The following is a 26,633-nucleotide window of genomic DNA, read 5'->3' as shown; positions in this document are numbered from 1 at the left end:
AGCCTGGGCAACAGAGCGAGACTCCATCTTAAAAATAAGTAAATAAATAATAAATAAATTAATTAATTAAATAAAGGTCCTATCTCCAAATACAGTCACATACTAAGATACTAGGTGTTAGGACTTCAACATATGAATTTAGGGAAGGGGCCCACAATTTGGCCTGTAACACATATTCAGTTGTGAATGATATTTCCTGGTCATAACAATATAGTCATAAAAAACAAGTTCTGAATATAGTTATCCAAATTAATAATACAGCTATATCAGGGGAATGGAAAAATACAGGGACAGACCGGAAGTGCATGTATGTGTGTGTGTAAGAAAAAGAGGCCAGGGGTGGTGGCTCACGCCTGTGATCCCAAAACTTTGGGAGGCCGAGGCGGGTGGATCACGAGGTCAGGATTTCGAGATCAGCCTGACCAACACGCTGAAACCCTGTCTCTACTAAAAATACAAAAATTAGCTGGGTGTGGTGACACGTGCCTGTAATCCCAGCTACTCAGGAGGCTGAGGCAGGAGAATCCCTTGAACCTGGGAGGCGGAGGTTGCAGTGAGCCGAGATTGCGCCACTGCACTCCAGCCTGGGCAACAGAGTGAGACTCCTTTTCAAAAAAAAAAAAAGAGAGAGAGAGAAAGTGAGGAATAGGAGTGTTGGAAAGGTGAGAGAAATCTAAATCTTCAGCATTCCTAAGGACAGACACTAAAAAATGTGTAAAGATTTATTTTTGTTATTTAGAAATAGTGTTTAAAAGTGGCTGCCTCTGAAGTAGAAAATTGCTCTATAATTGGGCCAGGCATTTCTATTTTTCATAACCAGCCTTTTAGAACCATTTGATATTTTAAAACTGTGCATATATAACTGTGATAAAATTTCCTGAAATGAAATAATCCAGACATTTAAAAAATATTCTTTTTTCTTCGAGATGGAGTCTCGCCCTGTCGCCCGGGCTGGAGTGTGCAGTGGCGCAATCTTGGCTTACTGCCACCTCCCACTCCCAGGTTCAAGCAATTCCCCTGCCTCAGCCTCCCAAGTAGCTGGGATTACAGGCATGTGCCAGCACACCCAGCTAATTTTTGTATTTTTAGTAGAGAGGGGGTTTCGCCATGTTTGCCAGGCTAGTCTCAAACCTCTGGGCTCAAGCAATCCACCTGTCTCCACCTCCAAAAGTGCTGGAATTACAGGCCTGAACCACTGCACCTGGCCTAGTGCAATGTTGAGTAGAAGTCATGAATATGGACATCCTTGCCTTGTTACTGATCTTAGATGAAAATATGTAGTTTTTCACCTTTAAGTATGATGTGCAGTGGCGCGATCCGAGGTGTACCACCACGCCCAGCTAATTTTTGTATTTTTTGTAGAAACGGGGTTTCACCATGTTGCACAGGCTGAGCTTGAACTCCTCAGCTAAAAGCAATCCACACCCCCCTCAGTCTCCCAAAGTGCTGGATTATGGGCATGAGCCACTGTGCCCGGCTAGCTTTAGGTTTTTTTTTTTTTTCTTTTTATAGATGCCTTTTTATTTACTTGAGGAAGTTCCTTTCTTTTCCTAGTTTGTTGAGGATTATGATCAGGAACAGATGTTGGATTTTGTCAAATGCTTCTTTGACATCTATTGAGATGTTAAAAAATTTTTCATTTTTAGACTGTTAATATGATGAATTGAATTGCTGATTTTTTTTTAGAAAAATTATACTAAGATACATATAACACAAAATTTACCATTTAAACCATTTTAAGGTATACAATTCAGTGGCATTAACTACATTTACAACATTGTACAACCATCATCACGACTTAGTTCCAAAATATTTTGATCATCACCAACAGAAATCTCATACCCATTAGTACTCACTGCATTCCTTTCTCCTCCCAGTCTCTGTAACTGCTAATCGGTTTGCTGTCTCTATGGACTTGCCTCTTCTAGATATTTCTTATAAATTGAATCATACAATATGTGGCCTTTTGTGTGTAGCCTCCTTCATTTAGTGTGATGCTTTTGAGGTTCATCCATGTTGTAGCATGTGTTAGTACTTAATTCCTTTTTATGAGTGAATAATATCCAATTGCCTAGATATACCACATTTTGTTTATTCATTCATCTGTTTATGGATATTTGGGTTTTTAAAAATCTTTCATCTATTTATCCATCATGAATAGAGCTGCTATGAACATTCATGTACAAGTCTTTGAACATCTGTTTTAAATTCTTTTTGATATATACCTAAGAATAGAATTACTAGTTAATATAGGAATTCGTTCCACAGTGGCTGCACCGTTTTACCATCCCCACCAACAATGTATGAGGGTTCCAGTTTCTCCACAAACTGGCCAACACTTACTTTCCTCTTTAAATTTTTTCCCTTATGGCTATCCTATTGGGTATGAAGTGGCATGTCATTGTGGTGTGGATCTATATATCTGTAATGACTAATGATGTTGATTGTCTTTTCATGTCTCTATTGGCCATTTTTATCTCTTTGGAGAAATGTCTTGTCATGTCGTATGCCTATTTTTTAATTGGGTTATTTAATTGGGTTGTTTGTCTTTTTGTTGTTGAGTGTTTTAAGAGTTCTTTATACATTCTGGATACTAGATCCTTATTAATATATGATTTGGAAACATTTTCTCCCATTCTTTTTTTTTTTTTTTTTTTTTTGAGACGGAGTCTCGCTCTATTGCCCAGGCTGGAGTGCAGTGGCGCGATCTCGGCTTGCTGCAGGCTCCGCCCCCGGGGGTTCAAGCCATTCTCCTGCCTCAGCCTCCCGAGTAGCTGGGACTACCGGCGCCCGCCACCACGCCTGGCTAATTTTTTGTATTTTTAGTAGAGACGGGGTTTCACCCTGTTAGCCAGGATGGTCTCGATCTCCTGACCTCGTGATCCACCTGCCACGGCCTCTCAAAGTGCTGGGATTACAGGCGTGAGCCACCGCGCCCGGCTCTCATTTCTGATATTGGTAATATGTGTCCTTTTTTTTTTTTTTATCTGTCTGCTAAAAGATTATCAATTTTATTAGCTTTTGAAAAGAACCAGCTTTTTATTTCTTTATTCTTCTGTATAGTTTTTCTGTTTACTCCTTCATTGATTTCTGCTTTTATCTTATAATTTCCTTTATTCTGTTTACCTTGAGCTGCATTCGCTCTTCTATTTTTAGTTTAAGGTGGAAGCTGAGCATTGATTTGAAACCTTAATTCTTTTTGACTAATGGTGTCTACTGCTTTAACTATATCCTACAAATTTTGATACATTGTTTTTTCTTTTTCATTCGGTTTGAAATACTTTCTATTTTCCTTTTTGATTTTTTTTTTCTTTAACCCATGGGCTACTTAGAAGTGTGTTACCTAGTCTCCAAAAATTTGAGGATTTTCCAAATATTTTTTAGCTATTGTCTATTTAATTCCATTGTGGTCAGACAACATACTTTTTCTTGAACCCTTGAAAATTTATCGAAACTTGTTTTTTGGGCCAAAATATAGTCTATCTTGTTAAATGCTCTGTGTGTACTAGGAAAAAAAATGTGTACTTTGCTTTTTTTTTTTTTTTTTGAGACAAGGTTTGGCACTGTCACCAAGGCTGGAGTGCAGTGGCTCTATCTTGGCTCACTGCAACCTCTTCCTCCCTGGTCTCAAGGGATCCTCCCACCTCAGTCTCCGGTGTAGCTGGGACTACAGGTGCATGCCACCATGCTCGACTAATTTTTGTAGCGAAGGCGTTTCACCATGTTGCCCAGACTGGTCTCAAACTCCTGGGCTCAGACAACCTGCTTGCCTCAGCTTCCCAACTGCTGAGGTTACAGGCGTGAGCCACCAAGCCTGGCCTGTTTTTCAGTGGAGTGCTCTATAAATGCCAATAAGGTCAGTATAGCTGCTGAATTCTTCTATATTCTCTAATTTTCTGTCTAGATGTTTTTTAATCTATTATCGAGAAAGTATTGTTGAAATATCTGACTCTAATTGTGAATTTGTCTATTTCTTCTAGTAGTTCTATCAGTGCTTGCTTTATGTATTAAGAAATTCTTTATTAAACTCATAAATGTTTAGGAATATTATGGTCTTTTGATGAATTGATCTCTTTATCATTAGAAAACATCCTGTTTCCTACCTGGTAATATTTTTGGATCTCAAACCTACCTAGTCTGATATTAAGACAACCAATCCAGCTTTCTTTTCATTAGTATTACCATGTATCTTTTTTCATCCTTTTACTTTAAACTATTTACGTCTCTATTTTTATTTATTTTAGTTTAGTTTAGTTTTTGTAATTTTAGTAGAGACAGAGTTTCACCATGTTGGCCAGGCTGGTCTCGAACTCCTGGCCTCAAGTGATCTGCCCACCTCAGCTTCCCAAAGTGCTGAGATTATAGGTATAAGCCACGGCTCCCGGCCTATTTATTTCTCTATTTTTAAAGTAGGTTTTTCATAGGCAATATATAGTTGGTTTCGCTTTTTATTTCAATCTTACAACCTCTTCCTTTAAATTGGAGTGATTAGACCATTTACATTTAATGTGACTGACTGTTGATATGTTTGGGTTTAAGTATGCCGTATTGTATTTATTATTCATATCTCTTCCTATTTTTCATCTTTTGATGAAATACTTGGAAAAGTATGAAGTATTTGAAAAATACTTCTTTGGGGCTAATTATCTTTCTATGATTCCATTTCTTTTTTTTTTCTTTTTGTTTTGGAGACGGGGTTTTGCTCTGTCACCCAGGCTGCAGTGCAGTGGCGTGATCTCGGCTCACTGCAGCCTCCACCTCCTGGGTTTGACTGATTCTCCTGCCTTGGCCTCCAGAGTAGCTGGGATTATAGGCATCTGCCACCACTCCTGGCTAATTTTTATATTATTAGTAGAGACAGAGTTTCACCGTGTTGGCCAGGCCAGATTGGTCTCGAACTCCTGACTTCAAGTGATCTGCCCACCTCGGCCTCCCAAAATGCTGGGATTACAGGCATGAGCCACTGTGCCTGGCCTCCATTTATTTTTTTAATGGAGAAATTAAAATGACTTTATTGTTGTATATATACAAAATAGAATTTAATAGAGGGCAAAATTTATTGAACTGTATACACTGCACCTGTAGTCTCAGCTACACAGGAGGTTGAGGTAGGAGGATCCCTTGAGACCAGGGAGGCAGAGGTTGCAGTGAGCTGAGATGGAGCCACTGCATTCCAGCCTAAGCGACAGTGCCAGACCTTGTCTCAAAAATAAATAAATAAATAAATAAATAAATAAATAAAAGCAAAGTACACATTTTTTTTTCCAAGTACACACAGAGCATTTAACAAGATAGACAATATTTTGGCCCAAAAAACAAGTTTCAATAAATTTTCAAGGGTTCAGGAAAAAGTACGTTGTCTGACCACAATGGAATTAAATAGAAATCAATAGCTAAAATATATTTGGAAAATCCCCAAATTTTTGGAGACTAGGTAACACACTTCTAAGTAGCCCATGGGTTAAAGAAAAAAATCAAAAGGGAAAATAGAAAGTATTTTAAACCTTTCTTATAGGGCATGACTGCTGGCGATGAATACTTTCAGCTTCTTTTTATTTATTTATTTATTTTTCTGAGATGGAGTCTCGCTTTTTCGCCCATGCTGGAGTGCAGTGGCACAATCTCAGCTCACCACAACCTCCACCTCCCGGATTCAAGCAATCTCGCGCCTCAGCCTCCCAAGTACCTGGGACTGCAAGCACATGCCACCACACCTGGCTAAGATTTGTGTTTTTAGTAGAGACAGGTTTCGCCATGTTGGCCAGGCTGGTCTTGAATTCCTGACCTCAGGTGATCCACCCACCTCAGCCTCCCCGGGTGTTGGGATTACAGGCGTGAGCCACCGTGCCCGGCCTACTTTCAGCTTCTGTGTATATAAAAAAGTCCTTATTTTGTCTTCATTTAAAAAAGATATTTTTGCCACATACAGCACTCTAGATTAATGGCTATGTTTTTGTTTGTTTGTTTGTTTGTTTTCTAAAGAGGAATAAAGATATCCCAGTCTTGGATAGTCATGCATTGAACAGTACTTAGGTGAATATGCTATTGGGACCCGTGCAGATCTCAGACCTTCACTCTGTGCAGTTCTCTCCTCTTCCATACACTGCCATGCAAATTCCAGCTGCCTTGTCCTCCTCGTACCCCTAGCAATGTCTCATTAGTCAGGGAGACTGCCGACTCCCCATGGGGACCACTCCCTGGAAACTCGCTCCAGTCAGTCAAAGGCCCCATTTGTTTCCCATATCTCAGTGATCACTGTTCTTCATTGTCTGATATCAAATGTCTTGGAAACAGTTGTTTCATATATTTTGCCAGGTTTTTAGTTGTTTCAGATAATATAGTAAGTTCAGTCATTCTTACTCCATCATTGCCATGCACAGAAGTCGTCCATATAGGTTTTATCTGGCCTATATGTAAGTAAGGCAAGCCCTGTTATTTAGCACTACTCTCTGGCTTTGAAGGTCTTGGAATGTATTGGAAAAATATTGGAGTCATGGGGCCGGATGAGGTGGCTCACACCTGTAATCCCAGCACTTTGGGAGGCCGAGGTGGGTGGATCACGAGGTCAGGAGATCGAGACCATCCTGGCTAACAGGGTGAAACCCCGTCTAAAAATACAAAAAAATAGCCAGGCGTGGTGGTGGGCGCCTGTAGTCCCATCTAAGGGGGAGGCTGAGGCAGGAGAATGGCGTGAACGCGGGAGGCGGAGCTTGCAGTGAGCCGAGATCACACCACTCCACTCCAGCCTGGGTGACAAAGCGAGACTCCGTCTCAAAAAAAAAAAAAAAAAAAAAATTGGAGTCATGGGAACAAAAGAGTATTCTAGTTTAGAGATCCAGATTGAAAGTCGCTTTACCTCTCTGTCTCTAAAATTTGGGAGTTGACTACTATTAACAACAATAACATTTTTTGGTGTAAGTTCTCTGATTCAACACCATCAGTGTTTCCTCAACTTTAGGGTTGTGTTACATATAGATAGAGACTCCTAGTTGAAGTTTAGGACCTATGTCCTGGATTTTGCCTTTCTGCTTATTACTATAGTTCCCAGGTAGCTATATTGCTGTCATAATCTCCACTTCAGAAACAAGAGATAAGTGTGAATAAGTGTGTGGTACAGGTTCTGGCTTCCTGCCTCCATTCCAACTCGGCTACGTTTCCTAAAGTGAGATATTTCTGATGTAATTTGTAATAATTTATAAAGCAATCATCGCCCATCTTCACAACTGAAAGTGTTAAGGGGAGGCAGAAACTTTGCAATTGTATACTCCTTAGTTCCTTACTGACAGTGTCAAACTGACAAGTGACAACTGTCATTCTTGGGGGTATGCAAAGAAGCTACTGGTCTCATAACAATGTTCTGGAAAGCGAATTCCAGGATGTTATTTTTCTGGTGTATGTATACTTAATATTTTCATCTGTGCCTTTACAAATGATTTATCCACTGTCTGAAATCTTTAGAGATCATCCAAGTGGAATTCAGTGTTGCTGCGAGAACTCTTTTCCTTCAGCATCCAGAAAATCAGAAGAGAACACTTTTCCTAGAAAAAGGGATGGCAAACTACTCTGTGGCCTCTTTTTCTGCCTCATCAACTCTCCAGCCTTATCAATTTTTAATAAACAGGTGAAATTGACTAATAGTGAATGTCTAGAGCAAGCTTTGTGTGTTCAGAGGTGTGTATACCTAAAGGGAAAGCCAGGATCTTTTCATTTACATCAGTGGGGTGGAAATGGGAGCAGATGCGTATTTTGATGATTTGCATAAAAGTTTCTGCTCTTTCTGATCTTCTGTTGGTGGAGCAACCTCCTTCTCTCCTAGTATACCTTTTATACATTACACATAACATTTAGACCTCCAGGACATACTTAATGTGAAAGAGAAAAAATGCTGGCATTAAATATGCCTGTGAATGGCACCTACCATTCCAGTAGATCTGTGAATGCACAGACTGAGTCAGAGGTGTTGAAGGAAAGCCCCGGTGACATATTATGAGAGCCACTCCTCGTCTCTAGAAACAAATGCCTCAGTGAATAGGACTGTTACCCCTTTTTTTTTTTCCACCAATATTGCCTCTGTTTCCATTTGCATTTCCAGAAGTGACCCAATTCTGAGTTTTTAAAATCTTCCTTGCTTCACACATCAAAGCTCACAGCCTTCGTAACTGGGTGGAACAAGCAAGTGGAAAGGTAGCATTGTTTTCTCTTATAGCACAATGTCAGCTACTATAAAAGATCTCTTTTGATCGCAAGGGACTTAAATATGTAAACTTTAGGGCTTGTAGTGATTTGTGCCTTTTCAACTAAGCAGGATATTAAAACATAAAGCCAAAATTGAGGCAACATCTGACAGCCAGTTCAGGGACCACAGACTTGGAAAGACCTTTGGCAATCAAAAAACATTGCTTCTTTGTCAACCCAGGAGCTTTGGATCAGTCCCCACTCTTCAAAGTTTCCTTGGAGTACCTCACAGCCCAGTACCCACCCTTGAAATTGCACTTGAAAAGTAATCTCTTTTCTTTGCCAAGTTAACAATATCATGACCTAGCCAAATAGTTCCTTACTGTACACCTGAGTTTTAAAGGCGTGGCATTCAGGCGTTTCAAATTTCAAAAGCCTGAAACTTGGCATAACTCCTGATAAGCCTCACAGCTTCCTTTTTTCTTTTCTTTTCCTTTTCTTTCCCTTCTTCTTTCTTTCTGCCATCCCTCCCTCCTTCTCTTTCTCTCTCTCTTTCTTCCTTTTTATGTATTTTTCAAAATAACTTAGTGTGCAGAAAGAAAACCATCGGACTTACAAGCCTACAGCCTCCATTTGACAAGACTCAGTAAAACATAATTGTTAGTGAGACTGCTCATGCTTTGTTAGTTACCTCGGGTCAGTAGCCAAGGAGTGACCTAACCTTCCAGTTGCGGAGGTAAAGCAGTTCCTTCTGGGGGCACATTCAGTTCAAGGATGTTTTGTTGAGACTCCTAACCAGGGTTCCTATAGTGACAGCCCATCAAAGGTATTAGCACCTGCCCAGCTGGTGCTAAAAAGAGGCTGGCAGCATGCTGGGCCCTCTCAGAAGTTACCAGATGACAACACGTCCACTCTCATTATTTTCTATTTCCTCCCTTTATTTTATTTGAGAAAAACATCACAATTATTTGGGGTAGAGAAAATTTTTTTATAGAAAGCCTATCCTATTTTCCTTTACTTTAAAGACATCTTCAAGCATGATGTATTTAAGCAAAGGAATGATGAACATAGAGGATTTGAAATAACAGATGGATGTTTGTCTTGAGATAGTTTTAAAATCTGGTGATAGGACAGTGCTAACCGTATATAAATGGAGGGTAGGAGGGTTCCTCCCACCTGAATTTTTGCACAAGGGATGCTTATGCCTGCGCCCTCCCATGCATGATTCTAATTTGGAAGCTGATCCAAATTAGTAAACCTAAGTAAACCTCTTTTGGGGGAGCTTGAATTTTTTTTTTTTTTTTTTTTTTTTTTTTTGACACAGGGCCTCACTCTGTTGCCCAAACTGGAGTGCAGTGGTGCAATCTCGGCTTACTGCAGCCTCTGCCTCCCGGGTTCTTCAAGCCATTCTCGTGCCTTAGCCTCCCGAGTAGCTGGGACTATAGCCACGTACCACCATGTCAGGCTAATTTTTGTATTTTTAGTGGAGACGGGATTTTGCCATGTTGCCCAGGCTGGTCTCGAACTCCTGGCCTCAAGTGATCTGCCCGCCTTGGCTTCCCGAAGTGCTGGGACTACAGACGTGAGCCACTGCACCCAGCCAAGCTTGAATTCTTGATCTCGGTCTCCTCACGCCCGTGCCTTATTTTGATCTGTCTTTTATTTTATGTAATGAGACATCTTGGTTTTTACATCAGTGAAAGGGTGCCATTTCATAAAATACCAAGATGGTTGCACTTTCTAGGAGTAGCATTTCAGATCCCACATATATTCAGCCTTGACAGAAGGCTTAGTTTAAAATGTCTAAAGGCATGTACAAAGAAAGAAAGAATAGCAGAGTGCTAGCATTGCTCTCTTTGAAACTGGACTTAGCCTTGAAAAGCAGCCATTATGTGAATGAGAGGGATAAAGACGCTAAGCAGAGGCCAGGGGATTCTATGATGGAAAGACTAAGCTACTCTCCTAAAAATAAGTTCATGACTTGAGTCTCATCAGTTGAGTGTCTTGTAGTTCCAAAGCATGGATGTCATAAAGATAATGACTGTGCTTAGTTTTTGTGCACAATTTCTTTTGTTTAACTGCAACTCTATCAGACAGGGGGACAAGAATGGAACCTCTTCAGTTTACCCATATATGTTTTGATTTGTAACTTGCTGTACAGAAAAGTTGTAGGAAGTGGGAGAGGGTAGAAACTCCTCTAGTTAGAAATATAAACTTGTTTCATAGAAGGAACATAAAGCAACAGCAGAAGTGAATGCTAACAAGTGACTTTCTTCTGGCTATTCAGAACAGACAGAGTATTGTGTTCCATACTGGTTGATCCAGTCTTTGCTTTCATGGTTTTCTGCTTCTTGGGCCAGAATATTGGCCAGCATTTTTCAGAAGTTGTAATTATTACACACTGTGCCTGCAGGGGCATGAAGAGCCAAGGAAGCTTCAAGATTGAAAACTGTGGGTTGGGAAACAGCAAGCCACTGGGTTCAGCTTTTGGGTTGATATCATCAACGAGGAACTGATCAATTCTTTCAAAAAATAAAGAAATTAATCTAGGGACCTCATTTTGTGTTCCTATCAAAATTGCAGAAAAACAATAACAACTTGACTGCACTCTTCACCCAAAAGGAACTTTGCTTATGAAAGACATAAATCATTTTGTAGAGCAGAACATTCTTTGAAAGCTCTGAGTAGAAGAAAGCACTTGCTTAAGGAACTTAATTGATAGAAACTAGCAGGTTGGACAGGGCTGCCTGAGTTCAAAGGCGCCGCTTTTAATCCCAAACCATTTTAATTTTACTTAACTTTTCTTTCTGAGTGACTACACTGCAAACTGCAAACTTCTATTAATCTACTGCCAAGTAATTTTTCTAAGAAGGTGGATCCTTTGCAAGATCCATAGCCAGGAGATGGCTGTTAGGAATGCGGGTAGTACAGTTCTGTGTAGATAAAAACAGAGGCACAGGAAAGTAGGTCATTCTGTTTTATATGTGGAACAGATTCTGGCTGTGGCAGTTTGCTCTGATTGAAAACAATGAGGGACTAGTACTTCTTTAAGTTTGGAAATGTAATGCCTCTGGCAATACAGGATCTTGGAGCGTGGAGGCTAATGTTTTCATAGTTGGGATTTCATGTTAGCAGAACAGCCAAAATGTCAACTGTTTGCAAGGAGAGTCATCCAATTCACACATATGCAGCTGGAGAGAAAGCTTAGCTTCAGATGACAGTTAACATTTTGGGGATGAACGGGAAGAATGCAGAAATAGCCTACTGCAGCCAAGAAATGAGTGGTTGTTGGAAGAACCACTTTCGCAAAATTGTTCTTTCTTTCATTGCTAGCACAAGAGACTTGTAACATTGCATTCAGATTTTCACACTATGTGATTTTTTTTTTCTTTTTCTTTCTTTTTTTTTTTTGGCTCATTTGAGAGTTAAGAGCTTACAAAAGTGACTGGGTTGGATAACTTCATCAGAATTGATTTTTTGAAAACAGCAAATGGGTCAACTTTGGCTAGTTTATCTTCGTAAAATGGATGGCCAGAATCACAACGTATTTGGTCATTTTGGCCATCTTAATAACTGACACAGATCAATACCTTAGCCACTTTTTTTCTTGACTTTTATTCTCTAGAGAAAAAATTGATTTATTGAGATGACTCTTCCTTTTTGTGACTCTTAGTCTTTCTACAGTCTTGCAAATAACTACTTGTCTGTATTGTTCTGGTCATTCTTTATTTTTGATGGACTAGAATATTAGTTTTTATTGGCTTCAAGAGCATAGTCCAGGATAGTTTTTTAAAATCCCACATAATCTGGTGTATTTAGTGTTGTATAAATATTGTTTAGTGCACTATTGTTTAAGGCTGGCACTACTGAATATGAAACAGTTGAAAATCAACTGGCCAACAAACTATCTTAAAATGGCACAATCATGAGCTACTCAAAGAAATGTACCACCTCACACATTCAAAAACACAGAAATCACAGAACACACATTCTGTCAAAAAACAGAAAATAACAAATGTTGATGAGAATGTGGAGAAATAGGAATCCTGGTGCACTGTTGATGGGAATGCAAAATGGTGTAGCCACTATGGAAAATATTAGGGTTGTTCCTCAAAAAATTAAAAACAGAATTACCATGTGACTCAGTAGTTCTACCTCGGGATATATATTCAAAATAATTGAAATCAGTGACTCAAAGAGTTATCTGTATACCCATGTTCATAGCAGCATTATTCACAATAGCCAAAAGGTGAAAGCAACTTAAGTGGCCATCAGTGGAAGAACGGGTAAGCAAAATATGGTAAATACATACAATGGGAATACTATTCAGCCTTAAAAAGGAAGGAAATTCTGACATATGTTACAACATGGATGAAACTTTGAAGATGTTCTGTTGAATTTAAAAAGCCAGTCACAAAAAGACAAATAAATACTACATGATTCCACCAATAAGAGGTACCTAGAGTAGTCAGACTCATAGACACAGAAAGTGGAATGATGGCTGCCTGGGGCCAGGGGGAGGAGGAAATGGAGAGTTAGCATTTCATGGGTGCACAGTTTCAGTTGGAAAAGATGAGAAAGTTGACATGGATGGTGGCGATGGTTGCACATGCAATGTGAATATATTAAGTATTGAATGCCATTGAACTGTACATTTAATAATGGTTCAGCTGGTAAATTGTATGTTATGTATATTTTATCATAATAAAAAATAAGTAAACTATTAGGCCAGGAAGCGACTTTAAAAAAAAAAGACATACAGGGCATCGTAACAGACACATGGTGCTATCTTCAGTGGACTTATATTCCGTCATTGTTTCCTGTCTTCTCCAGAGGCAGCAAAGCTCTTTTTGTATGTCTTAAATGACATCAGGCCCACGCCTTCCTTGCCCCTCATCTGAGAAAGAGTTCCTTGCTTCTCTCCTCGTGTCTCTCCCCTCCCACCTTCCCCATGTTCTCCCCTTCATCGCAGGGTTCAGCCAGAGATATATAGGGCGCTTTGGTTGAGAAACACTGATCTCATGGACATCCATGTAAAATGCTCAGCCTTAATCTGTGAACAAGGTGTCTTTCATCACCTCGCTAGAACTGTGAAAAGAAAATTAAAGGCACAGGAGAGGGCAGAAATACAGAACCCTAATAGAGAACTATAAGCTGATGTTTGCGCCCAAGGCTTTGTACCTGTATGACTAAGAGAAAGGTAAACCTTTACCAGGCAAATGAGTTTTAATTTTAAGAGGTAATTATTGAAACCTCAGTTTGGGCTGGGTGTGTTGGCTCACACCTTGTAATCCCAGCACTTTGGGAGGCAGAGGCAGGCAGATCACCTGAGGTCAGGAGTTCGAGACCAGCCTGGCCAACTTGGCAAAACCCCGACTCTACTAAAAATACAAAAATTAGATGGGCATGGTGGTGCATGCCTGTACTCCCAGCTATTCGGGAGGCTGAGGCAGGAGAATTGCTTGAACCAGGGAGTCACAGGTTGCAGTGAGTTGAGGTTGTGCCACTGCACTCCAGCCTGGGCAACAGAGCAAGACTCTGTCTCAGAAAAAAAAAAAAAAAAGAAAGAAAGTAAGAAAGGAAAGAAAGAAAGAAGGAAGGAAGGAAGGAAAGAAAGAAAGAAACTTACTTCAGTTTGCTTTCAGGAAGTCTTAACTTGGTAAGAGTTGCCCCTGGAAAAATGTGGCTTTGCAGGATTCATGATAGTTTTGGTCCAGGTTAGGTTATGTTTTTCCCATTTCTTTTCTTTTCTTTCTTTTTTTGAGACAGAGTTGCCCAGGCTGGAGTGCAATGGCATGATCTCAGTTCACCACAACCTCCGTTTCCTGGATTCAAGCGATTCTCCTGCCTCAGCCTCCTGAGTAGCTGGGATTACAGGCATGTGCCACCACGCCCAGCTAATTTTTTTTGTATTTTTAGTAGAGACGGGATTATTCCATGTTGGTCAGGCTGGTCTCGAACTCCCGACCTCAGATGATCTGCCCGCCTCGGCCTCCCAAAGTGCTGGGATTACAAGCGTGAGCCACTGCGCACGGCCTTTCTTCCCATTTCTTTTTTTCTTTTCTTCTTTTTTTTTTTTGAGACAGAATCTCACTCTGTCACCCAGGCTAGAGTGCAGTGGTGCGATCTCAGCTCACTGCAAGCTCCGCCTCCCGGGTTCATGCCATTCTCCTGCCTCAGCCTCCCAAGTAGCTGGGACCACAGGTGCCCACCACCACGCCCGACTAATGTTTTATATTTTTTGGTAGATACGGGGTTTCACCGTGTTAGCCAGGAGGGTCTCGATCCCCTGACCTTGTGATCCGCCCGCCTCAGCCTCCCAAAGTGCTGGGATTACGGGCGTGAGCCACCACGCCCGGCCCTTTTTCCCTATTTCTAAGCAAATTACCCCGACTAAGATAGTAGTGAATAGTTTCCTTACTCATCACCAACCTGAATTTCAGGACTTAAGTCACCCCAGATTTGGGGAGGAAGTTGGACACTTCAGGTAATGGATGACAGAGCTGCACATTCTACTGGCTTTAATAGTTCAGCACTTTTCCACCTATAAAATTTCTCTTGATATGCTTTAATATTCCATATTGAGCAAAAATGAGATTCGTGCTCTTCACATTGAAGCTATGACAATCAATATGCTTGCCTCAAGGGTCTACCCCTGCCACCACCACCCCCAACACACACACACACACACACACACACACACACACACACACAGAGAAGATTGAGAAGATGAGACTTCTAATGGTCACACCTGCCAAGTAAAGTAGAAAGTAGTTTTGCTTCAAGAAATATCCTTGCCAGGCACGGTGGCTCACACCTGTAATCCCAGCACTTTGGGAGGCAGAGGCAGGCAGATCACTTGAGGCCAGTAGTTCGAGACCCACCTGTTCAACACAGTGAAACCCCTTCTCTACTAAAAATACAAAAATTAACCAGATGTGGTGGCATACACCTGTAATCTCAGCTACTCGGGAGGCTGAGGTGGGAGAATCGCTTGAACCTGGGAGGTGGAGGTTGCTGTGAGCCGAGATCACGCCACTTGCACTCCAGCCTGGGAGACAGAGTGAGACTCTGTCAAAAAAAAAAAAAAAAGAAAGAAAGGAAGGAAGGAAGGAAGGAAGGAAAGAAAGAAATATCCTCTAACTAAATTTCTTTTTTCTATTCTCCCAAGCTTCCGCAGGTTCACTCGATCCAACAGTGTGACGACAGCAGTACAGGCCGACCTGGACTTCCATGATAATCTGGAAAATTCTCTGGAATCTATAGAGGACAATTCGTGTCCTGGCCCCATGGCCAGACAGTTCTCCCGCGATGCCAGCACCTCCACAGTCAGCATTCAGGGCTCAGGAAACCATTACCATGCCTGTGCCGCCGATGATGACTTTGACACGGATTTTGACCCCTCTATTCTGCCTCCTCCGGACCCCTGGATTGACTCTATCACTGAAGACCCTCTGGAGGCCGTGCAAAGGTCAGTGTGCCACCGGGATGGCCACTGGTTCCTGAAGCTTCTCCAGGCAGAGCGAGACCGCATGGAGGGGTGGTGTCAACAGATGGAGCGGGAAGAACGGGAAAACAACCTGCCCGAAGACAGTAAGTAATGCCACCACGTGCCACACCCGTCCCCTGGGGCTGGGGTTGCTTTGTGTGTGCAGACCTTGTTGTTTTCTTCTCTGCCAGCTTCACTTGTATAACCTTGACGTTCCACACCCCAAACCAGAACATGCAGGAGAGCTAGGTGATTCCAGCTGAGTCCAGAAGTCCCTGCACAGCACAAAACCAAGAAAACTCCTGGGTAGATATAACACTGTCCTTAGCTCTAGGCCCATGACGTTCTTTTTCTTTCTGAAAATACCAAGCTCTGTGTGGAGGTGCTTTCATGTCTCTAACTTGGTCCCTCTTCTCCAAGATGATCCTGGAATGTTGCTGATCCTCAGGGGATTGAAAATAATTCTAATCAAAACATCTCATGTATCCTATGAATATATACATCTACTATATACCCACAAAAATTCTTTTTAAATAAAAAAAGAAAATAATTCTAACTAGCCCAGTGCAGTGGTGCCCACCTGTAGTCCCAGCTCTTCGAGAGACTGAGGTGGAAGGATCACTTGAGTCCAGGGGTTAGAGGCTGCAGTGAGCTATGATCACACCACTGCACTCCAGCCTGGGTGACAGAGCAAGAACCCATCTCTAAAAATAAATATATAAATAATACTAACTTTTTTCAAGGTCCATAGATACAGGTACATTGGGGATTTATATTCTTTATGATTTTGTTATTCTCATTAACATACAGCATTAAAACAAGGCTTATAACGTATAGGCCGCTAGAAACCCCCACCTATTTGTATTCTTAAGCCTGTTTGACAGGCACTTTCTCTTAGGATTTACAGGGGCAAACCCTTTAGCTGCCAAAGAAACACATTTTATAATCTTATTACAGTTGAATGGGCTAAAGTGAAATACACGATGAATACATAAAATAAATAATGGACACTCTTTTTCGCACACTATTCTTTTCTTTCTTTTTTCAGACAGGGCCTCACTCCTCACCCAAGTTGGAGTGGCGCAATCATGGCTCACCCCAGCCTTGACCTCCCAAGTAGTTGGGACTACAGGCATGCACCCCATGTGCAGCTGATTTTTGTATTTTTGGTAGAGACGGGGTTTCGCCATGTTGCCCAGGCTGGTCTCAAACTACTGAACTCAGGCAATCCGCCCACCTCGGCCTCCCAAAGCGCTGGGATTACAGGCATGAGCCACCGTGCCTAGCCTGCACACTATTATTTTCAAACTTGACCTTTTAACATTTGAAAAAGAAAAATTAACAATTGAAAAAGAAAAATTGTCAAATTATATTAACAGTTGAAAAAGAAAAATAATCAAATTACCTCAATTCTGAGGCATGTTTTACATGTTTTCAACAATTCTGAAATTAGAATGTAGCTTATATATAATCAGTATGTATTTTAATGTTGTATGTTTATTTTCCTCTGAAACATTATTATTAAATTAATGGTGGATCCTCCAACTGATGATATTTTTGAAACAAGGAAATTTGGTGGTAGGCATTAATGCCTGCTTCATGTCTGTGTGCAAAGCATCTAAAAGAGTATTGCTATGAAGTAACTTTTTAGACTTGTTTTTTAAATTACTTTTTCAATTTTTATTATGAGCTTTTTCTTTTTTTTTCTTTTTTTTTTTTGAGATGGAGTTTTGGTCTTGTTGCCCAGGCTGGAGTGCAATGGTGCCATCTTGGCTCACCGCAACGTCTGCCTCCAGGGTTCAAGTGATTCTCCTGCCTCAGCCTCCAGGTAGCTGGGATTACAGGCATGTGCCACCACACCCAGCTACTTTGGTATTTTTAGTAGAGACGGGGTTTCACCATGTTGGTCAGGCTGGTCTTGAACTCCTGAGCTCAGGTGATCCACCCGCCTCGGCCTCCCAAAGTGCTGGGATTACAGGCATAAGCCACTGTGCCCGGCCTATTATGAACATTTTTAAACATGCACAAAAGTAGAGTTTAACATGATGAGTCCCCATGTACTCGTCACCTGCTTCAACAACTGGCCAGTCTTGTCTCCACCATTTGTAGTTATTGTTGTCAGAGTATTTTTAAGAAAATCCAGCACCAGGTGTGGTGGCTCATACCTGTAATCCCAGCACTTTGGGAGGCCAAGGCAGGAGGATCGCTTGAGGTCAGGAGTTCAAGACCAGCATAGCCAATATGGTGAAACACCATTTCTATTAAAAATACAAAAATTAGCCAGGTGCAATGGCACACGCCTGTAATCCCAGCTACTTAGGAGGCTGAGGCAGGAGAATTGCTTAAACCCAGAGGCAGAGGTTGCGGCAAGCTGAGACTGTGCCACTGCACTCTAGCCTAGGCAACAGAGTGAAACTCTGTCTCCAAAAAAAGAAAAAAAGAAAATCCAAGGCATCGTGTCACTTCCCTATGTAGCTCACACTTATAGAAAACATTTTTTATATGTATAATCATAGGCCTTGTGCGGTGGCTCATGCCTATAATCCTAGCACTTTGGGAGGCTGAGGCGGGTAGATCACTTGAGGTCAGGAGTTCTAGACCAGCCTGGCCAACATGGTAAAACCCCATCTCTCGTAAAAATACAAAAATTAGTCGGGTGTGGAGATTGGCCCCTGTGATCCCAGCTACTCGGGAGGCTGAGGCAGAGAATGGCTTGAACCCGTGAGATTGAGTTTGCGGTGAACAGAGATCGCAGCTACTGCACTCCAGCCTGGGTGACAGAGTGAGACTCCGACTCAAAAAAAGGTAAAATATTATCATGCATTATCGTACGTAACAAAAACAATAATTTTTTTTTTAAAAGACAGAGTCTTGCTCTTGTCACCCAGGCTGGAGTGCAATGGCCTGATTTTGGCTCACTGCAACCTCTGTCTCCTGGGTTCAAGTGATTCTCCTGCCTCAGCCTCCTGAGTAGCTGGGATTACAGGCACCTGCCACCATGCCAAGCTAATTTTTGTATTTTTAGTAGAGACGGGGTTTCACCATGTTGGCCAGTCTGGTCTTGAACTCCTGACCTCAGGTGATCCACCCGTCTCGGCCTCCCAAAGTGCTGAGATTACAGGGGTGAGCCACAGCGCCCGGCCAATAATTTCTTAATTAGATTTAACATCTACTATAAATCATGTTAAGTGCATTTACTAAATGCACCAAACTAGTGGTGTCAAAGAGTAGTGAGTTTTTCCCTAGGGGAATCATTTTTTTAATGAAATGGAGTCTGGAAAATAACAGTTGTCATCAGACTGGGGATATCTTCACTGTGTCCACTCTCTCACTCACAGCTCCAGTCTGCTCCTCCTGCCTGACCCCTGTCAAATGACTGACTAGCTTATCGCTTGCCTTTATGGGCAAGTTAGGAAATTCATTAACGGGTTTCTGTAAAACCCATAAATGGGTTTCCTTTGCTTCTTCATATTATGAGTGCAAACAACTTGGCAGTGGAAAAGTAAATCTCCTTGACATTTGCCCCTGTTAGTGCCACTGCAGACTCACCTGAGTGTTGACCCCCAAGCACAATTAGGTCTTTGCCCTGGTGACAGGTAAACAAGGTATGTCTCAGCAGCAGTGGGAGCAGGGGTAGTTTTCAGTAAGAAAGTCTTAGTTGGATCATCTTATTCACTTTTCTCCTTGTGGACATACTCACAGTTTATCAGATTTTCCTAGGAAAAATGCCAGCAACTAAGGAACAATGACATCCCGTGCCACTGCTCAATGGCACAAACTTTCAGATTTCAATTCTCAAATTTGGTTCTCCTTCTAGCTTCCTGATTGGTGTTCTCTCTCTCTCTTTCTTTCTTTTTCTTCCCTCCTTTCTTTGGTTTTCTTTTCTTTCTTTTGGCAGAGTCTTGCCCTGTGACCCAGGCTGGAGTGCAGTGATGGGATCATAGCTCACTGTAGCCTGGACGTCCTGGGCCCAAGTGATCCTCCCACCTCAGCCTCATGAGGAGCTGTCACTACAGGTGTGCACCACCATGCCTGGCTAATTTTTAAAAAATTTTATAGAGATAGATTCTCACTGTGTTGCCCAGGCTGATCTCAAACTCCTGGCCTCAAGCAATCCCCCCACTTCTGCCTCCCAAAATGCCAGAATTACAGGCATGAGCCACCCACCCAGCTCCTGGCTGGCTTTCAACAGGACTCTTGGAAACTACTTATCTGTTGTTTTCTTTTAATGGGCCTTTCAGTCTGAGACTTGATCTACCTCTCTCAACCCAACTCTATAATGATGTGTGAGGATACTCATTGTATAAAGATTTAGGAAAAACTAAAGGAGCTAGGAAAACAAGTCAGTTGTATTGTAATACAATAACATATATTTGAAAGGTTGAAAATCTTGTCAGAAAACCAGCTTCTCAGCCTATGTTCAGGATGAAAGAGAAACGTATTTGTATTTTGAAATGTACACTGCTGGCAAAGTCCCAAGATAATGAACATGAGGGAACTGCCCAACCATCTGTTGTTCCAGGCCTAATTTGTTGTTCAAGCTGAACTGGGTATCGCCCTGGTGCTCCTGTAATGCCCTGTGTATTTGTCCTTCAGGTACTTCCCACATTATTTTATAATAACCGATGTATCTTTCTCTTCCACTAAAAAGTAAGCTTTCTGAAAACAGAAATTATTCTTGTCTTACTCATCTTCATATCACCAGACCCTCTGACGCATAACAGGGGATCAGTAAATATGTATTTGAGTCCTTGAAATATTCTGGAAATTCTGTTTTATAAAAGTATTTTACTTAGCAAAACCTTTCTTCCTAATTAGCTAAAAAAAAACTTCAATAAGTAATACCTCAGTCCTTTCAGGCTGCTATAACAAAATACCCTAGACTGGGTAATTTATAAACAATAGAAATTTATTGCTCACAGTTCTGGAGGCTGGGAAGTTCAAGATTAAGATACTGGCAGGTTTGGTGTCTGGCAAGGGCTGCTCTCTGTTTCAAAGATGGCGCCTTCTTGCTGCAGCCTCACGATGGAGGCAGCAGACAAGCTTCCTGGGCCTCCTTGATAAGCGTAGTAACCCTATTCATGAGGACTCTGCCCCTGTGACCAACTCACCTCCTATAGGCCCCCTGTCTTACTATTTATACATTGGTAATTAGGTTTCAACATATGAGTTTTAGAGGAGCACAGACATTCAGACCATAGCAAGTAACTAACAGTTCTTGTTGCCAAAAGCTGGAAAGGTGTTCCCGTGACAGATGATGAGCTCTTCTGATCAGGACAAGGATGTGGAAGAGAGAGATGGGCACCTGCCACAGAAGTGATGGAAAGCACTTCCGTGTGGGACAGGTGGCTAGTCCAGATGAACCTTGTGTGTCCTGTCTCATTCTTAAGACACAGTTCCATTCCACAAACACTTGAAGGCTTTCTCTATTTTTTCATACTTTGAGAGACACGAAATAGGAGCTTCAAACTACTGGGATTCCAAAATTCTAGTCAGTGCCGTGGCAAACCCTGCGCCCAGGACAGAGTCACCAATTTCAAATGCGGCCAATCCAGATCAGGGAGAATTGGACCATAAAGCAGTAGCAACCCTCTCCAGGAAGAAGGGAAAATATCAGTGCATGAAAGAATATTCATCTTGCCCTCACAATACCCCTGACGATGGCCTAGAGACTTTGACAGGTGCTGTTTTATTTGCCCTCACAACAGTTCTCTGGCAGTATCTTGTCCAAGGTCACAGAAAACAGAAGTGTCTGATAGAACAGATACACATGAATAACATTTGACAAGATAATGATACTTTGCGTTGCCTGGCACTGTCCTCCTTAAAGCCCGCCATGCAGATCTGTCCCTGACTCCTTGGCAAGCACCACTCTGTTCTGATAACTGGGCCTAGAGTTGCAGAGGGCCTTTGTTTCACCAATTCTCTGACTTAACCTTTTCTTTTTTTGTAAGAGGGGCGGTAAGGAAGAGAGGCCAATCCCACTTGGCAGGCATAGCCAAATTCTAAGCAACCAGCTTTTGTTTGTTTTAATTCTGTGCACACCAGAAAAATAGCTTCGATAAATGGGTCAAGTACAGATACCTCTATCCCTTGGCCAAGCCAAGGGATGTTTCAGACCTGCAGAAGGAGGGCCTCTCTTCAGGGTGCCTGACAAACGTGGTGCCATAACAAAATCCCCCCAGGAGATCTGGTCTTGAAGTCATCATGAAAAGATAAATAGGATAGAGGGAAAAAACGGAAGATTCTAATCACGCAATTTATTTTGTGGGGTACCAGAATTATCCCAATTTTTAAATATTTTAAAATGTTTGGTGAATGTACATAATGCCTCCGAATGGTACACTTCACTGTGGTTAAAATGGCAAATCTTATGTCTATTTTATCACAATTTTAAAATACCCCCACTGGGCGTGGTGGCTCCTGCCTGTAATCCCAGAACTTTGGGAGGCCATGCCATGAGGATCGCTTGAGCCCAGGAGTCCAAGATTGGCCTGGGCAACAGAGACCCTATCTCTACAAAAATATATATTTTTTTAATTAGGCAGGCTTGGTGGCATGCACCTGTGGTCCCAGCTACTCATGAGGCTGAGGTGAGAGCATTGCTTGAGCCCAGGAGGTCGAGGCTACAGTGAGCCGTGATCGTGCCACTGCACTCCAGCCTGGGAGACAGAGGGAGACTCTGTCTCAAACAAACAAAAAACAACAAACACAAAACAAAACAAAAAAAACTAAAAAAACAAAAACTCAGAAATAGGCAGCAGCAGCTAAAGATAAGCAGAACAACCATGTTCATGTTCATATTCATGTAAGAATGTATTTTGTTAATTGACTCCCTGAATTCAAAATACAGTGCATCCATGGCAAAAAAAAAAAAAAAAAAAAAAGTTTGGAAAATAACCTGTTTACTCACTGGAAATTTGAGGTTCAGATATTGCATGTGGGGTAGTTGTAATCATCTTTCTCTATTAGAGAGTTGAAGAAGAAAGAGTCTATCTAATTTTAAATAGTTATTTAGTTATTAATTATTTTGTGATGTCATTATGCTAATTGTGACAGCTGCTTTTGGCCTCACAGGGCTGGAAAACACCTTCCTAGTTCACCTGAAACTGACTAAATGTGGGTAACAAAAGGCAGACCGAAAACAAGCATTTGGAGTAGCCAGGAGCCTCAAGCTATCTTTTGAACAGTGTAACTATACATTCTTTGGGTGCCTGGAGTTACTGTTTTCCCTGATAAATGCAAAGCAGAGCAAAGACTTTAGTTCTTGTTTTAAACCTTCAACCCCAACCGTCGACAGTACCTTTTTTTTTTTGGCTTGATAATAAAATAATGAAACTGCAGTGAGTGAGGTTTCCTCCAAGCCAAGACAGCTGACAGAATGCTTGTTCCCGCAGCACTTGAAGTAAAATGATACGAGCTCTTCTCAGACAATGAAGCCCTTGTGTGAAACAGCTGTCTCAGGGAGATGGCTCAGTGCTATTTGACAGTGGCTTGTATGTTACATAGATACGTCTGGTATTATCTAACCGGGGATGAAACGACCAGATGGAGCTGAATGCCTCCAACTAGGAATGCAGTCTACCACTGTGGGGAAAGAACATAGGCTCAGGTTTCAATGGCCCTAAGATGAAATACCGGTGATTGTACTTCTAAATCTGTCTTTGCCTTCTGAATTGTAGACAACAAATACGTGGAATTTTCAGGCTTTATCTGAAACAAACTGATAAACCTAGAGCATGTGCCGGAGGCAGATTAATTCTTCCACTTTAATTTTGCCTGGTAATAGCATCCAAGCTAGTGAAACTTGGCCTTCAGTCCCCTAGAAGGCTTGGGACCCTTGGCAGCGAATGCGGGGCTGGTAATGACACCTGAAATGGGGTTTGCCTGGTTTCAGGTTTGGTTACGGAAACTGTGCACAGTCATTGTGATGGTCTATCGGTGCCATCACCCAGGGTTTATCCGCCTGGGATTGCCTCTGCTGTGTCTCTGCGGCCTGTGAAACAGTGGGTGGCAGACAAAGCTGTATCTGTGAGTTCTGCAATTCATCTGCCTCCAGCCCGTGTGTGTTTCTAAGTGGGGAGCAATGGCTGCATTCTAGCCTAGCTCCTTTCTGTTTTATTCTCATCTAACTCTTGCAATGAACCCTCAAAAGGTCCCTCCCACTCCACCACACACACAGACACACATACTTGCATGTCTCTTTTTGTAAGCTCCAGACAACCTGAAATTAGTGACCGCAGAGGAAGTGGCAGTAATGAAAAGGAAATCGGCTGTAATGTGCCATATGTTTAACCTTGAGAATGCTCCATTCATGCCGCTTTGCACAGCGCTGGTGCCAGAAGGCCATTAGACACCATCCTTTTGTGGATGTGCTTCTTGAGGGTGGTGTCTCCCAGCTCAGGAGGGCACGAAAGCATGAAGAGGTGAAGTGATGTGGTTAATTGGGGGCAGAACTGGGCCTGGAAACAGATCTGTTCCTAGGCCAGTGGTGTTTCTGTCATTCCAGAGATGGCAAAGAGAGGGACTGGCTCACGGAGCAAGACCTCCTATCATTTTCTCCAATAACTGTTTCTGTGAAATATAAATGCAATGGACTGGTGGGGCGCAGTGGCTCATGCCTATAATCCCAGCACTTTGGGAGGCCGAGGCAGGCAGATCACGAGGTCAGGAGTTGGAGACCAGCCTGGCCAACATGGTTGAAACTCCGTCTCTACTAAAAATACAAAAATTAGCTGGGCTTGGTGGTGCATGCATGTAATCCCAGCTACTCGGGAGGCTGAGGAAGGAGAACTGCTTGAACCCAGGAGGTGGAGGTTGCAGTGAGCCGAGATCACGCCACTGCACTCCAGCCTGGGTGACAGAGCAAAACTCCATGTCGAAAATAAATTAAAAAATAAATGCAATAAATGCAATGGACTTCAAATAAAATATACAGTTTTTTTCATTTAGATTACCTAGGGAAATAGAAACTAATTTCATTTCATCCAACTTTCAAAGGCTCAAAACTGTCTTTATCTATATGATGTATATGATGCTACCATTTCGTGGCTGATATAAGTCAAGATATTGATCCAAAGAATGACCATCTTCTACGAGTAAGGCTCCTGGAGGGGTTGGAACTGGGAAAAAAAAATTAAAATTAGCTGAGTTTTTGAAAAACTTGCTCTTTAAAAACAAAATAATGTTGTTGATTTTTTTTTTTTTCCCCCAGAACACTGTGGAAACTCTGGTGTTAGTCTATGGGAAAACTTCTACTAGAGAATCCATTCTTTATTCATTAGCCACCAAGTTTCAGCTAAAAACAAAACAAAACAAAAAAAGCACTGTTGTGCAATGCAGATCAGCAACTGCCAGTCAGGAATGAAACAGATCCACGTTTTCTATGGAGACGTTTTGTTGATGGCAGCTCCGGATCACAAGTGTGTCTGAGAAGCAGCTGCTGGGCAGTAGGTTGGGGAAATTTTTGCCGCAAGGACACACTCGTAAATGAGAATGTCTCCACATGGATAATCCCAATGCCATGAAATCACACAGACTCAGAATGACAAATCCACATGACTTTCATTTATTTATTTATTGAGACAGGGTCTCACAATGTTACCCAGTCTGGTCTTGAACTCCTAGGTTCAAGCGATCTGCCTGCCTCAGCCACTCAAAGTGCTGGGATTATAGGCAAGAGCCACTGTGCCTACCTGACTCGATATTTTTGAAATAAATTTTGTGTATATTTGAGGTTTATATGCTATTGAATACAGATAGAAAGTAAGTTGGTGACTATTATGAAGCAAATTAACATATCTGTCATCTCACATAGTTACTTTTTTTGTGAAAGAGCAGCTAAAGTCTACTTATTCCACAAGACGCCCTAATACAAGATAATTTTACTTAGCATAAGGTCCTCCAGTCCATCTATGTTGTGGCAAATGGCAGGAGCTCCTTCTTTTTTAGGGCTGAATAATATTCACTATATATATGTGGTATATATATACCACAATTTCTTTCTTTCTTTTTTTTTTAATTGAAACAAGGTCTCACTTTGTCACCAAGGCTGGAGTGCAGTGGTGTGATGATAGCTTACTGCAGACTTAACTGCCCAGGCTCAATCAGTTCTCCCACCTCAGTCTCCTGAGTAGCTGGGACCACAGATGTGTGCCATCAGACCCAACTAATTTTTTAAAAATTCTTATTTGTGGATACAAGATCTCACTATGTTGCCTGGGCTGGTCTTGAACACCTGGGCTCAAACATTCTTCCTGCCTTGGCCTCCAAAAATGCTGGGATTACAGAGAAGAGCAAATGCACCTGGCCTGTTGTTATGTTTCCTTTAGAGAAATGTCTGTTCAGATCTTTTGCCCATTTTTGTTTCTTCTGGTTTTGTTTGTTTGTTTTTGTTTTGTCTTGTTCAAACCCTGTGTCAAGGACCTTTGCCCTCCTTTTTTTTTTTTTTGAGACAGAGTCTTGCTCTGTCGCCCAGGCTGGAGTGCAGTGGCGCTATCTCAGCTCACTGCAAGCTCCGCCTTCTGAGTTCACACCATTCTCCTGCCTCAGCCTCCCAGTGTAGCTGGGACTACGGGCGCACGCCACCACGCCTGGCTAATTTTTTGTATTTTTAGTAGAGACGGGGTTTCACCGTGTTAGCCAGGATGGTCTCGATCTCCTGACCTCGTGATCCGCCCTCCTTGGCCTCCCAAAGTGCTGGGATTACAGGCGTGAGCCACCGCACCTGGTCGGACCTTTGCCCATTTTTAAATTGAGTTTTTTGGGGTTAGTTGCTTTCTTGCTATTGAGTTGTAAGAGTTCTTCATTAATTTTGGATTTATAGTCTGCAAACCTTATTGGTTATGTGGTTTGCAAATATTTTTTCCCGGGTTGTAGGATGCCTTTTTATTTTTATTTTTTTTAATTTTTTTTTTTCTTTGAGATGGAGCCTTGCTCTGTTGCCCAGGCTGGAGTGCGGTAGTGTGAT

General features: G+C 41.8%; 1 protein-coding gene across 33 annotated transcripts in view, besides 3 other annotated features; it reads left to right on the top strand.

Annotated features, from left to right (window-relative positions):
- Positions 1 to 26,633, top strand: part of DLGAP1 (DLG associated protein 1) — a 959,276-nt gene that overhangs the window by 905,346 nt on the left and 27,297 nt on the right. For all 33 annotated transcript variants that reach the window (NM_001398527.1, NM_001398526.1, NM_004746.4 and 30 more), the window contains one exon: positions 15,347 to 15,768. In NM_001398527.1, coding sequence (NP_001385456.1) covers positions 15,347 to 15,768 — 422 coding nt within the window. The remainder of the gene's footprint in view (positions 1 to 15,346; positions 15,769 to 26,633) is intronic.
- Positions 22,997 to 23,291: a silencer, noted in NCBI's record as "tiled region #485; HepG2 Repressive DNase unmatched - State 9:DNaseU, and K562 Repressive DNase unmatched - State 5:Enh". NCBI's record gives its function as "represses a minimal TATA promoter and a strong SV40 promoter by Sharpr-MPRA in HepG2 and K562 cells {active_cell/tissue: HepG2 | K562}" and the evidence as "EXISTENCE:reporter gene assay evidence [ECO:0000049][PMID:27701403]".
- Positions 22,997 to 23,799: a biological region, named in NCBI's record as "Sharpr-MPRA regulatory region 485".
- Positions 23,055 to 23,799: an enhancer, noted in NCBI's record as "NANOG-H3K27ac-H3K4me1 hESC enhancer chr18:3526161-3526905 (GRCh37/hg19 assembly coordinates)". NCBI's record gives its function as "activates a minimal SCP1, AML or CMV promoter by ChIP-STARR-seq in primed H9 embryonic stem cells {active_cell/tissue: H9 hESC(primed)}" and the evidence as "EXISTENCE:reporter gene assay evidence [ECO:0000049][PMID:30033119]".

Source organism: Homo sapiens, chromosome 18 (assembly GCF_000001405.40).
Source record: "Homo sapiens chromosome 18, GRCh38.p14 Primary Assembly".
Classification (NCBI taxonomy): Eukaryota; Metazoa; Chordata; class Mammalia; order Primates; family Hominidae; genus Homo; species Homo sapiens.
Note: the sequence above shows the minus strand (reverse complement) of the source record. Positions and strands in the feature narration are given on the sequence as shown.